The sequence below is a fragment of the Homo sapiens genome, chromosome 5, assembly GCF_000001405.40.
Source record: "Homo sapiens chromosome 5, GRCh38.p14 Primary Assembly".
Classification (NCBI taxonomy): domain Eukaryota; kingdom Metazoa; phylum Chordata; class Mammalia; order Primates; family Hominidae; genus Homo; species Homo sapiens.
The window spans coordinates 62282276-62297397 of record NC_000005.10 but is presented as its reverse complement, the minus strand read 5'-3'; the positions used below and the strand labels follow the sequence as shown (position 1 = coordinate 62297397).

General features: G+C 41.3%; 2 annotated features.

The window, feature by feature from the left end:
* Positions 11652-11931: an enhancer, noted in NCBI's record as "active region_22595". NCBI's record gives its function as "activates an Ori minimal core promoter by ATAC-STARR-seq in GM12878 lymphoblastoid cells {active_cell/tissue: GM12878}" and the evidence as "EXISTENCE:reporter gene assay evidence [ECO:0000049][PMID:35858748]".
* Positions 12042-12141: an enhancer, noted in NCBI's record as "active region_22594". NCBI's record gives its function as "activates an Ori minimal core promoter by ATAC-STARR-seq in GM12878 lymphoblastoid cells {active_cell/tissue: GM12878}" and the evidence as "EXISTENCE:reporter gene assay evidence [ECO:0000049][PMID:35858748]".

The following is a 15122-nucleotide window of genomic DNA, read 5'->3' as shown; positions in this document are numbered from 1 at the left end:
GAACATAAGGATTTCAGAATTCTTGAAGGAGTCATTTTTCTGAGGGTGTAGAAGCATTTACCTTTAAATCATATTACCTGAAGAGAATGTTGCAGGAGTAGCCCCAAGCCTTGAGGCATTTGTGGCCTTTGAAGTGCTAGCCAGTGCTATGGTTAAGAGTAGTAGCTTAGACAATGGATGAAGACTACGTGTAGAAAAGAAAACACAGAAAAACCACAAGCTGGTCTCAGCAAACCCATGAAGGTTTAGTTTATGGTTTTGAAGTTGTAGGGCTGTAGTTATGACAAATTCAGTCAGATCAGTTCAAAAAGAAGTAAATGGATCCTGCAGAGGTTTTGGGAAGATGGAGCAGTGGCATGGCCAGTTGCCGGAACTATGTATGACATAGCTACCAATAAAATGTCTGGAAAATAAAAGAACTACTAAATGAAAATACTTTTGAAGAACAATCAGGGAAATTTGTACACATACGGAGTATTAGATATATTAAGGAATTAGTTTTATTATGTATGATACTGATATTGTGGTTCTGTTTTCTTTTTTAACTGATTAATTTTTTTTCTTGTTTTTAAGATGGGGTCTCACTATGTTGCCCAGACTGGTCTTGAACTCCTGAGTTCAAGTTATCTTCCCACCTCAGCCTCCCGAGTGGCTGGGATTACAGGCATGTGCCACTGCACCTGGCATTCTGTTTTTTGTGAAAGCCCCCCCACCCTCTTTTGTTTTTGAGATGGAGTTTTGCACTTGTTGCCTAGGCTGGAGTGCAATGGCACAATTTCAGCTCACTGCAACTTCTGCCTCCCGGGCTCAAGCGATTCTCCTGCCTCCGTCTCCTAAGTAGCTGGAATTACAGGCATGCACCACCACACCCGGCTAATTTTTTGTATTTTTAGTAGAGACGGGGTTTCGCCATGTTGGTCAGGCTGGTCTCAAACTCCTGACCTCAGGTGACTCACCGGCCTCAGCCTCCAAATGTGCTGGGATTACAGGCGTGAGCACCACGCCCAGCCTAAAGCCCTTATTTTTTAAAGACATAAAACTGAATCAAAACAAAACAACAATAACAACAAGTAAAACAAAACAAAAACCCCAAACCCTACAGAGACTTTTATTGAAGTGGAGCGACCACAGCTCTTTTTGAATCTTTAATAAAGATGATTTTTTAGTTGTTACAAATTGAAGAATGGTACTAGAGTGTCACAGGTCATGGATAATGGAAAATTTGAAAATCACAAATGCTTTATAAATGTGTTGCAGAGACTGCTAGTGCTTATCAGCTTGATTTACTGTGGCCAGATGACTGAGTTCTGGCTAATGAAGAATTGATGTCTGGCCTTTTAAGCTATCTAACCTCCCGTGCACTTTTCTCCTTTTCTTTCTTCATCTATCAGCTGAAGGACAAGACTCCTAGAAAAGGGTAGAGCCAAAAGCTGGAAAGAATCTGGATTCCTGAATGACTGTGTGGAGCCAAGCCTCCACCATACTGCTCCTCTTCCCATTGAATTGCAGTAAACTATGGGATGAGTAAGAAGCAAAAAATAAATAAATTTTGCCTGTAATCCCAGCACTTTGGGAGGCCGAGGCGGGCAGATCACGAGGTCAGCAGATCGAGACCATCCTGGCTAACACGGTGAAACCCCCTCTGTACTAAAAATACAAAAAAAAATTAGCCGAGCGTGGTGGCCGGCGCCTGTAGTCCCAGCTACTTGGGAGGCTGAGGCAGGAGAATGGCGTGAACCCGGTAGGGGGAGCTTGCAGTGAGCCGAGATCATGCCACTGCACTACCACCTGGGCGACAGAGTGAGACTCCGTCTCAAAAAAAAAAACTAATTTTTTAGCATGAAGTTTGTTGAATTTTGTCAAAGACCTTTTCTGCATCTATTGAGATAATCATGTGGTTTTTGTCATTGATTCTGTTTATATGCTGGATTATGTTTACTGATTTGCATAGGTTGAACCAGCCTTGCATCCCAGGGATGAAGCCCATTTGATCATGGTGGATAAGCTTTTTGATGTGCTGCTGGATTCGGTTTGCCAATATTTCATTGAGCATTTTTGCAGTGATGTTCATCAGGGATATTGGTGTAAAATTCTCTTTTTTTGTTGTGTCTCTGCCAGGCTTTGGTATCAGGATGATGCTGGCCTCATAAAATGAGTTAGGGAGGATTCCCTCTTTTTCTATTGATTGGAATAGTTTCAGAAGGAATGGTAACAGCTCCTCCTTGTACCTCTGGTAGAATTCGGCTGTGAATCCATCTGGTCCTGGACTTTTTTTGGTTGGTAAGCTATTAATTATTGCCTCAATTTCAGAGCCTGTTATTGGTCTATTCAGAGATTCAACTTCTTCCTGGTTTTGTCTTGGGAGCGTGTATGTGTCGAGGAATTTATCCATTTCTTCTAGATTTTCTAGTTTATTTACGTAGAGGTGTTTATAGTATTCTCTGATGGTAGATTGTATTTCTGTGGGATTGGTGGTGATATCCCGTTTATCATTTTTTATTGTGTCTATTTGATTCTTCTCTCTTTTATTCTTTATTAGTCTTGCTAGCGGTCTATCAATTTTGTTAATCTTTTCAAAAAACCACCTCCTGGATTCATTGATTTTTTGAAGGGTTTTTTTGTGTCTGTATCTCCTTCAGTTCTGCTCTGATCTTAGTTATTTCTTGCCTTCTGCTAGCTTTTGAATGTGTTTGCTCTTGCTTCTCTAGTTCTTTTAATTGTGATGTTAGGGTGTCAATTTTAGATCTTTCCTGCTTTCTCTTGTGGGCATTTAGTGCTATAAATTTCCCTCTACACACTGCTTTGAATGTGTCCCAGAGATTCTGGTACATTGTGTCTTTGTTCTCGTTGGTTTCAAAGAACATCTTTATTTCTGCCTTCGTTTTGTCATGTACCCAGTAGTCATTCAGGAGCAGGTTGTTCAGTTTCCATGTAGTTGAGCGGTTTTGAGTGAGTCTCTTAGTCCTGAGTTCTAGTTTGATTGCACTGTGGTCTGAGAGACAGTTTGTTATAATTTCTGTTCTTTTACATTTGCTGAGGAGTGCTTTACTTCCAACAATATGGTCAATTTTGGAATAGGTGTGGTGTGGTGCTGAAAAAAATGTATATTCTGTTGATTTGGGGTGGGGAGTTCTGTAGATGTCTATTAGGTCCACGTGGTGCAGAGCTGAGTTCAATTCCTGGATATCCTTGTTAACTTTCTGTCTCGTTGATCTGTCTGATGCTGACAGTGGGGTGTTAAAGTCTCCCATTATTATTGTGTGGGAGTCTAAGTCTCTTTGTAGGTCTCTAAGGGCTTGCTTTATGAATCTGGATGCTCCTGTATTGGGTGCCTATATATTTAGGATAGTTAGCTCTTCTTGTTGAATTGATCCCTTTACCATTATGTAATGGCCTTCTTTGTCTCTTTTGATCTTTGTTGGTTTAGCTCTTCTTGTCGAATTGATCCCTTTACCAATATGTAATGGCCTTCTTTGTCTCTTTTGATCTTTGTTGGTTTATAGTCTGTTTTATCAGAGATTAGGGTTGCAACCCTTGCCTTTTTTTGTTTTCCATTTGCTTGGTAGATCTTCCTCCATCCCTTTAGTTTGAGCCTATGTATGTCTCTGCACGTGAGATGGGTTTCCTGAATACAGCACACTGATGGGTCTTGACTGTTTATCCAATTAGCCAGTCTGTGTCTTTTAATTGGAGCATTTAGCCCATTTACATTTAAGGTTAATATTGTTATGTGTGAATTCGATCCTGTCATTATGATGTTAGCTGGTTATTTTGCTCGTTAGTTGATGCAGTTTCTTCCTAGCCTCAATGGTCTTTACAATTTGGCATGTTTTTGCAGTGGCTGGTACCGGTTGTTCCTTTCCATGTTTAGTGCTTCCTTCAGGAGCTCTTTTAGGGCAGGCCTGGTGGTGACAAAATCTCTCAGCATTTGCTTGTCTATAAAGGATTTTATTTCTCCTTCACTTATGAAGCTTAGTTTGGCTGGATATGAAATTCTGGGTTGAAAATTCTCTGCTTTAAGAATGTTGAATATTGGCCCCCACTCTCTTCTGGCTTCTAGAGTTTCTGCTGAGAGATCAGCTGTTAGTCTGATGGGCTTCCCTTTGTGGGTAACCTGACCTTTCTCTCTGGCTGCCCTTAACATTTTTTCCTTCATTTCAACTTTGGTGAATCTGACAATTATGTGTCTTGGAGTTGCTCTTCTCAAGGAGTATGTTTGTGGTATTCTCTGTACTTCCTGAATTTGAATGTTGGCCTGCCTTGCTAGATTGGGGAAGTTCTGGATAATATCCTGCAGAGTGTTTTCCAACTTGGTTCCATTCTCCCCATCACTTTCAGGTACACCAATCAGACATTGATTTGGTCTTTTCACATAGTCCCATATTTCTTGGAGGCTTGGTTTAACTGTTTCTTTTTAGCCTTTTTTCTCTAATCTTCTCTTCTCACTTCATTTCATTCATTTGATCTTCTATCACTGATACCCTGTCTTCCAGATGATTGAATAGGCTACTGAGGCTTGTGCATTCATCATGTAGTTCTCGTGCCATGGTTTTCAGCTCCATCAGGTCCTTTAAGGACTTCTTTGCATTGGTTATTCTAGTTATCCATTCATCTAATCTTTTTTCAAGGTTTTTAACTTCTTTGCCATGGGTTCGAACTTCCTCCTTTAGCTCGGAGTAGTTTGATCATCTGAAGCCTTCTTCTCTCGACTCGTCAAAGTCATTCTCCGTCCAGCTTTGTTCCGTTGCTGGTGAGGACCTGCATTCCTTTGGAGGAGGAGAGGCGCTCTGCTTTTTAGAATTTTTCAGTTTTTCTGCTCTGTTTTTTCCCCAACTTTTTGGTTTTATCTACCTTTGGTCTTTGATGATGGTGACGTACAGATGGGTTTTTGGTGTGGATGTCCTTTCTGTTTGTTAGTTTTCCTTCTAACAGTCAGGACCCTCAGCTGCAGGTCTGTTGGAGTTTGCTGGAGGTCCAGTCCAGTCCATGTTTGCCTGGGTATCCGCAGCGGAGGCTGCAGTACAGTGGATATTGGTGAACAGCAAATGTTGCTGCCTGATCATTCCTCTGGAAGTTTTGTCTCAGAGAAGTACCTGGCCATGTGTGGTGTCAGTCTGCCCTACTGGGGGGTGCCTCCCAGTTAGGCTACTCGGGGGTCAGGGACCCACTTGAGGAGGCAGTCTGTCCGTTCTCAGATCTCCAGCTGCATGCTGGGAGAACCACTACTCTCTTCAAAGCTGTCAGACAGGGACATTTAAGTCTGCAGAGTTTTCTGCTGCCTTTTGTTTGACTATGCGCTGCCCCCAGAGGTGGAGTCTGCAGAGGCAGGCAGGCCTCCTTGAGCTGCGGTGGGCTCCACCCGGTTCGAGCTTCCTGGCCACTTTGTTTATCTATTCAAGTCTCAGCAATGGCGGGCGCCCCTCCCACAGCCTCGCTGCCACCTTGCGGTTTGATCTCAGACTGCTGTGCTAGCAATGAGTGAGGCTCTGTGGGCATAGGACCCTCAGAGCCAGGCATGGGATAAAATCTCCTGGTGTGCCGTTTGCTAAGACCGTTGGAAAAGCACAGTATTAGGGTGGGAGTGACCCAATTTTCCAGGTGCTATCTGTCATCCCTTTTCTTGGCTAGGAAAGGGAATTCCCTGACTCCTTGCGCTTCCCGTGTGAGGCAATGCCTCGTCCTGCTTTGGCTCACGCTTGGTGTGCTGCACCCACTGTCCTGCACCCACTGTCTGACAATCCCCATTGAGATGAACCCGGTACCTCAGTTGGAAATGCAGAAATCATTCGTCTTCTGCATCGGTCACTCTGGGAGCTGTAGACTGGAGCTGTTCCTATTCGGCCATCTTGGCTCCACCCCATTAATACATTTTTAAAGGTAATCTTTCTCTTACTAATCTTTTTTTTTGAGACAGAGTCTTACTCTGTTGCCCAGCCTGGAGTTCAATGGCATGATCTCTGCTCACTGCAAGCTCTGCCTCCGGGGTTCATGCCATTTTCCTGCCTCAGCCTCCCAAGTAGCTGGGACTACAGGCGCCTGCCACCACGCCCAGCTAATTTTTTTTTTGTATATTTAGTACAGACGGGGTTTAACTGTGTTAGCTAGGATGATCTCCATCTCCTGACCTCGTGATCCGCCCACCTCAGCCTCCCAAAGGGCTGGGATTATAGGTGTGAGCCACCGCACCCGTTCTCTCTTACTAATCTTTATTATTTGTTGCAGAACAAAATTTTGAAAGGACAGAAAAGCTGCCCAAAGATAAATTCCAACTGAGGTTTAAATCTAATGTTTTAAAATTACTTTTTTTTGAGACAGAGTCTCACTCTGTTGCCCAGGCTAAAGTGCAGTGGCGTGATCTCGGCTCACTTCAACCTCCGCCTTCTAGGTTAAAGGGATTCTTGTGCCTCAGCCTCTCAAGTAACTGGGATTACAGGCATGTGCCACCACACCTGGCTAATTTTTGTATTTTTAGTAGAGACGGGGTTTCGCCATGTTGGCCAGGCTGGTTTCGAACTCCTGGCCTCTAGTGATCCTCCCGCCTCAGTCTCCCAAAGTGCTGGGATTACAGGTGTGAGCCACCGCACCTGGCCTTAAAATTACATTCTGATCCCTGCATGCTTTCTGGAGCATGAAAGAGTGATGGGTAGATTGATTGGAAGCAACATTGCTCTAGGGGTAAGAAAAGAACTTTAGTGATGGTTTATGTACCTTTATTCCTTGAAGTTATTAACATATCAAAAAAGTCAAAAGAGTAGTACAATAACATCTGTACTCTCACCACCCCATATTCGTAATTAATAATTTGTTAATAAATGATAAAGATGTTATTCCTAGGCAGTCCAATGATCTATTTTACTCATAAATATTTTGGAATTCTTTTCTTTTTTTTTTTTTTTTTTGAGACAGAGTCTCATTCTGTCACCCAGGCTGGAGGTGCAGTGGTGCAATCTTGGCTCACTGCAAGCTCCGCCTTCCAGGTTCACGCCATTCTCCTGCCTCAGCCTCCCGAGTAGCTGGAACTACAGGTGCCCGCCACCACGTCCAGCTAATTTTTTTGTATTTTTAGTAGAGACGGGGTTTTACTGTGTTAGCCAGGATGGTCTCGATCTCCTGACCTCGTGATCCACCTGCCTCAGCATCCCAAAGTGCTGGGATTACAGGCTTGAGCCACCACGCCCAGTCTATTTTCTTTGTTTTATATAAAAAGTTTGGTTTTAATCACACTCAATCATATCATGACTGCCTTTCTAATTCACTTGAATTGGAAGGACATAATGACATTTATGTAACCTTTACTAACTCTTAAGACAAATTGTGAAAAAAAGAACTTGCCCAGGAGAGGAAAGCCCCCTGAGAATTCAGAGCTACAGAAATAAATCATCAGTCCAACTCAATGGGTGCTCAGCTGATCTAGTTCATGTTTTTATTGGAATGCTGACTTCAAATGAATCTTCCTGAAACCTCACAAATACTGACTTCTTTCAGAAGCAGGTAATATGAAGCAAAACAAAGTTTCCAACAACTCAATTGCAATGAATTGTACTTGAGAACAGACAGTTCCTGTTAGAAGTAACTGTACCCTATAATGTAAGCCAGGAAGCTGTCCTGGATCACCACACTTGAGAATTTCAGGGTTGCTTTTTCTAAATTTCCTGTTAATATTTTAGGGAAAATCAATCTTTTCAGTAGACATCTCATGTGAAATAAGGTAACTCTAATATCTAGAGGTATATATATGAAAATGTTAATAAGCCTAGGTTATACAAGGAGAGATTTACAGCACTCCATAAAAGTACATGATCAATCTTTTGTTATTGGATGATATAGAATGTATATACTCAGTTAATCTGCTGCCGAAAATTTCTTTCCAACTTTTTGAAATTGAGGGCCCTAATAAGTGGATATTTGCAAAATTATCGTCAGAGAATTATTCACTTATTCATTCATTCAACGAATACTTATTGAGGCTGGGTGTGGTGGTTTACGCCTGTGATCCCAGCACTTTGGGAGGCCTAGGCGGGTGGATCACCTGAGGTCAGCAATTTGAGAGCAGTCTGGCCAACATGATGAAACCCTGTCTCTACTAAAAGATACAAAAATTAGCCGGGTGTGGTGGCACGCACCTGTAATCTCAGCTACTTGGGAGGCTGAGGCAGAAGAATCAGTTGAACCCAAGAGGTAGAAGTTGCAGTGAGCCAAGATCATGCTGCTGCACTCCAGTCTGGGGAACAGAGCAAGGCTTCGTGAAAAAACAAAACAAAACAAAACAAAACCACACAAAAAAACAAACAAAAAAACCCCATAAGAACAAATACTTATTGAATGCCTGCTCTGTGCCAGGCATCACTATAGGTGTTGGGGGTATATCAGGGCACAAAACAAAGATTCCTCTCCTCATGGGCCTTACATGGGGGAGAAAGAAAGTAAATCAAAACACAATAAACAACTAACTATATTATACAGCATGTTAGAGGATGGCAGGTTTATGGGAAAAAAAAACAACAGAAGAGGATGAAGACGTCAAGAGTGTTGTGAGGAAGTCAGTCTGCCTGACTATCTGGACAATGAGCACTGCAACCTGAAACTGCAGCCACACTAAGGCTATCTGGCTGGTTTGAGGAATAGCTGGGGCAGGCAGAAGAGAGTGAAGCTATGATGCAGGCCTGTGATCGCCATGGCCAACCCCATGGGACGCTGGAGCTGAAAAGGCCTCTCAGAGTTGTCTTGAATTAGGCCAAAATGGCCAGGACTTTATATCCCAGCATTGATTTGGCGTTAGGTATAAGCCACCTGGGAATGAGTATGACCTTGAGCAAGGTGGCTCTCTGCAGCTAAAGGGAAAGAAAGCTGTGGGATGTCTACTGACATCACTCCCGACAGCCTTCACTGAAGAGAGAGCTAGGAGGTACATATCAGTGTCAATAGGTTCAGCCTCCTCATTTTCAAGTTTACCTGTGGTCTAAGATGGCTACTGTAACTTCAGCATTCATATTCCAGCCAGCTGGAAGAAGGAAAAGGAACTATCCTGGTAGTTGTATGCGCTACTTTTGCTCACAGTCTGTTGCAAGAGTCTAATCACATTGCCATACCTAACTTCAAGGAAAGCTAGGTTATACAGTCTTTATTCTTGTTGGCTTGGGACCAGCAAACAAACAAAAAGGATATTGAAGTACAACTAGCAGTCTCTGCTATCATACTCCCCCATTTGTGTAAGAAAGAGAATGTGGATTCACCACATGGAAGAATAAGTTAAATGCAGTCTTTTTAGCTCATTCAAGATTTTGTGCTTTGGGCCAATGGGGGCATTAAAAGGCACCAAAGAAAGAATGCTATCTTGAAGGGCTCCCAGAAAAGGAGACTTTAAGGGAGAAGGGTGACAGCAATTGTATAGATGGGTGGTTGTGAAGTTGGAGATTAATGTGATCAGATTTGTATCCACCAGCTGCTGGAGCTTGGGATCATCAGGTGGCATTTATGCAGCATAACTCACTGTAGAACTGCTTCCTTCTTGAACCCCTCCCTTGGCTTGATTCTTCTGATTTGTTAGTCTTCCTTCCTGGCTCTTCTTCCCACTCTTGACCCTTTAATATTGATACACTCCTGGGTTTGGTCCTCTTTCCTCATTTCTTCTCACAAGGCATTCTTTACCTTTACGGGATCATATAACTCTTCGAAAATATCATGACCTTCAAACCCAGAAAAATGCCCAGCTGACCATCACCAACTTATTAAACAGAATGAACCTGAAGGGGGTATAAACATTAAGATTTTATTTTTCCCCCATCTCTGTCCTCAACTGTTCTATATCAGCTCTCTTTTGCTCCTCCATGATGTGTCAAGCAGATCCCACAGCTTGCTTACCCTGTAGTTAGCAAAAAAGCTGGAGAATTCGATTATGACTCCAATCACGTCTCTACTTCCCCATCTGAGGCTTGACTCATGGTCCAAGCACCTTCAAAGTCAGCTCTTTCACTCTTCCTCCCCTCCCTTTTCTGGTTCACTAGGTTGAAGTTCACTAGAAGGGAAGGCAGGGATTGCCTTATAGGTCTGGTCTCCCTCTGACTCTGTCCGGTCCTGTCCTCTGTGGTTGAATTTGGCCAAGATGGTGAGTTAGGTTTCCTCTGGATACTTCTCAGAGTCACCCTGCCCCCACACCTACTTCCCTCTGCTAAGGACCTTGTCCAGCCTCCATTCCTGACACCCTCTCTGAAAGGATATCACTTCTGTTAGATGGCAGCTGCCTGCACAGCCTTATACCTTCTGGTTTGTCTCCTGTCCTCCAGGCTCTTTCAATATTTTATTTTCTGCACATACGTGCCCATACTCACAACTGAATCTACAAGTAGGCAGATCTCAAAGGAAGGAGAAAAAATGGGTCAAGCCACACATGCCTCGATCATTTCCTCCAAATTCACCTACCAGTTGCCTCTGTCCTCTGTGGAAAGTAGTGAATGAGGAGGAAAAAGGAGAACTGAAGTGTTGCTCTAACAGAGGTCTCACAGCATGAAAATATCAAATGTAGAGAAAAAATGTTCCTGAGTAACAATCCATATGTAACGTATGTGTGTCTACTATGCATCTTGCCTGAAATAGCATACAGGCATATTGAACTTAAAATCCATCATACTGAACTCATCACTTAAAAAATACATTCCAACCTCAGAATCTGTGTTTCTGTCTACATTTTCTATTTTATAATTTATCTAATTACTCAAATAAAAATTTGGGGATTCATCTTGGATTCTCCTCCTCCCTTCACCCTTCCTAAATATTACTTCTCTCCATAATCTTCTTGCTATTTCTACTGCCTTAATTAAGGCTGCCATTACTTCTCATTTGGATTATTACACCAAAAAAAAATCTCCTAATATATCTCTCTATATCCAGATTTACCTTCCTGAAATCCATTTTGTTAAACTGCATCTAAAGTTATCTTTTGGAAATTCAGATCTTATCAGGTGACACTCCTGCTTAAAACTCTCCAGGGGCTCCCCATTGTTCTATGATGTTTATCAAAGTGTGATCTTAGATTGCCTTTGACCAGAATCATTTGGATGACATATTAAAAATACAGTTTTCTAGGCCATATCACAGATTTAATGAATCAGAGTCTCTGGAGATGCATTTTTAACTTTTATTTCTAGAAAGGAATTATTATGCACAAAAAATTTTTGTAAATGTTTACTCATAAGATTAAGTTGAAACTCCTTTTTAGGGTATATAACACATTTCAGCATTTGGTTTATATTACCTCTTTAATTTTTCATCTTACCACTACCTCTGCAATTTGTGTTCTAGGAAAAACATGTTTCCTCATGAATCATTTCACACTTCTTTGTCTTTTAATCTGCTTGTTTCTTAGCTTGATGCATTTTTCTCACCCAATTCTCTTCCATCTGATGAAAACCTATTTATCTTTCAAAATCTTATTAGAATTTCATATATGTGAAAGGACAAGTGGACAAGGACAGATGGAAACCCATGTTTATTCTTATTGCCTCTGGCCTTTGTGATGAGGATATCCTGTAAAAGTGAGGGCTCCTCAGCCCAGCGACCTGGCGGGGGTGGGAGGAGCTGAGGGAAAATCCAGGGGAAGTTAGAGCAACTGCAGGCACAAGCCCTGCTACTGCTTCACACCAATGAAGTGAGTCAGCAGATCAGCAATAATGTAGGTGTGAGCTACAAAATGGCCACCGTTTCCCTACCACCCTCCAAATTTCTCAAGAATCTTCCTTGTGACCCACTCTAACTAGAAGCATACCAGAAAATGAATTCTAGGAAATGTTCCACCTACGCAGGTTGACACATTACAAAACTACCACACACTGGATAATCTATTTTAGGCAGGGTGGTCAGATCTCATTGGTGATATGACTTTTTTTTTTTCTTTTTTGAGACAGAGTCTCTGTCACGTAGGCTGGAGTTCAGTGGCATGGTCACAGCTCATTACTGCCTAGACTTCTAGGGCTTAAGTGATCTTCCTGCCTCAGCCTCTGAAAGTGCTGGGATTACAGGTGTGAACCACTGTGTGCAGCCAGTGAGATGACATTTGCACACCAACTAAAGTGAAGGATTGGGCCAAGAGAAAAAAAGGAGAGATGACCAGGACATACAAAGGCCTTGAGGCAATGGCATCTGGATGGAGGACTCTGAAGAAGGGTCAAATACCCAAAGAAAAAGCAAGATCCAGCAGAGTCTCAGGAATAGTTAGAATGAAGGACCCCAACACCCTAATGGCTTTCTCTCTGCCATTCTGTTTCTCTCTGTGTCAACTTCATTCTCTTTCACTTTAGACTGGCTTTCTCCACCTGGTGGAAACATGGTCACAGGAAGCATCGAAGTTTGACATCTTATATGTGTAGCTATCAAAGAAACTATCTTTATGTTCTCTGTGATAGCCCATCAAAAAATTTGGGGGAAATTACTCATTGCCCTAACAGGTTATTTGCCCATTCTTGGAAAAATTAGTTCCAAAGGGCTATGATATTAATTACCTGTTCTTGTGTAATAAATTATGCCCAAACTTAGCAGCTTTAAACAACAATAAACATTTGTTATATTACACAGTTTTTGTGCAAAATGAATTTAGGAACAGCTTAGCTGGATGGTTCTGTCTTGAAGGGGGTGTCTCAAATGAAGTTGCAGTTCAGATGTCAGCTGGAGCTGCAGTCATCTAAAGGATTAACTAGGCTGGAGGATCCATTTCCAACTATACTCACTCACAATTCTGGTAAGTTAATGAAGGTTGTTTCCAAGAGACCTCAGTTCCATGCCATGTGACACTTCCATATGGTTGCTTGAGGACTCTCGTGACATGGCATCTGGCTTTCCCTAGAGTGAATGACCCAAAGGAGCAAGGTGGAAACTATAGCATCTTCTATGACTTAGACATTGAAGTCATACTCTGTTTTTCCTTAATATCCTGATAGTTACATAGGGCAGACCCATTCAGTGTAGGAAGAGACTACATAAGTGTATGAATAACAGGAGGTGAGAATCTTTGGGGTTAATTTTGGGGGCTAGATATCAAGGCACTCTAATTTGCACAGCTTGCATTCGTTTCCTAGTCTTTGTAGCCAGAGCAGAGACAGAATAGATCACATGACATTCATCTCTCTTGGGTGAAGAAAAGGAATACTATGGTAAAGATGGGGAAGATAAAAGAGAAATTTCTAGAAAAATTGGAGGATGAGTGTTGGGGAAAAAATAGGTGTCTGTTGCTAGCCAGAATGTTAAAAACTCCCTTGTTAATACGTGACTGCACCTCTGTGTTACTTCTTGGCACATTACATCTTAATTATTCATTTACAAATATTTTTCTTCCACTAGATTGTGAAATCTCTTCTTTCATCTTTGAGTTTACATCACCACATCATTGTCTGGCACAAAGTAGATGATCAAAAATGCGTGAACTGAACTGAACTAAATAGACTAAGGCTTGGGAGGATATGAACAAGGTTCTTCAATAATTAAACATATGGGGAACACAAAATTAACATCAAATCTCAGATTAGAAGGCATTTTTTGACACTTGAAAGATATGTTCTTTAGATGAAATGAGTTAAAAGCTTATGAAACTTGTGTTTTCAAGAGATACAACATGTTAAAATAGAAATAATTTATATGTTAAATATTAAATAAATAAAAATTTATTGAATACATGAATATTAGTTAGGGTTTTTATTATTTTGGTGTGAGGAATCAAAGCCCAACTCAAACTAGCTTACAAATAAAAAGGGTGGATTTATTGGAGAATTACTGAAGTAATTAATAGAATCCAAGAGACACAAGAACTTCAGGCATAGAACCACCCGAAGTGGAGCACAAAAGAAAACCCCCAAATTCTTCTCCTTTTGACCCTTCTCTCTGCCCCTCTCCCCACATCTGCTTTACTTTCTCAATGCAGATCAGCTTTCTTGTTTGCAGTCCACACGTAGCAGAAACAGTTCTGAAGTTGGCATTTATAGACTGGTCACCTAGAGAGAGATGATCGTTTCTCATTCCAGTTTTACATTCCTGAGGAAGGGACCAATAGATTTAATTAAGTTTAGATGCCCACCTTCAGACCAATTAAGCATGACTTGGGGCAGGGTCACATTATGGGAATATTGCAAATCCTGCTGCCACTCTCCAGATTGGGCAATGGGGTGAGGCAATTTCTGGAAAATAGTTGCTGGGTAGACAAAACAATAGGTATGTTTTTAATGACTCTGTAGATAAGTTAAGAGATGACATACTCATAATAAAACATGAAGGGTGTTCAGAGTCCAACATAAGTCTCTGGAGTTTGACACAGCAAATCACAGGGTATTGTCAGTGTCATTGTAAGAAATGATTATTTAGAGCCTTGGTCTGAGACAGGGTAGCATTTGTTGTGTTCTAATCATTTTAACACAATATTATTCTGGTGAGGGTGAAAGCACTGTCTTCATTGCTACATCTAACAAAAAGAGTTTAATTAGGATTTTAATTTCCTTTGCTGAGTTGCTGGGGAAGGTTTCAGAAGAGATAAACTATGGGTTACAGCATCCACTACATTATTTAGCTATAAAGGAGGATTCAGAATTTTTTTTTTTAACACCTACCTCCTTCTAAGATCTTGATGACAACAGTAGTAGATTTGCTAATAACCAATTTCAGCATCTGGGAGTTTAATGCCATGTTTAAGTCCAAATACTTTTTTGTTTCATGTATTTTGGTGAAAAAAAATCTCTCTAAAAGGTAGAAAGACTGCCATTACAAATGTTTTTACGTTAAAATGGAAAACAAAACAAAACAAAAACCAACTATTGAGTATAAAAGTATGGAAGAACATGTTCCTGACCTAGTTTTTAAAAGAAAGAGAAATTATAATCAGAATGAAATTATCTCTGTAAATGTAACTATCAAGTGAATGGCTTCTAATCAGCGGGGATATTGTGTGTGTGTATGTGTATGGAGGCTGGGGCGGTTGAGAAGAATAAAGATTATTCTTAGACTTCCTTTTGAATGCCCCCAAATGCAAACATTCCATTTTATTGTTTCTAATATACTACTCTAAAGTTTTTAGGTAGGATGGCTGAAGTCAGCATTAGAATCAGGGAAACGTAACCTCACCAACATCAGTGTTTTCTGCCCATTTG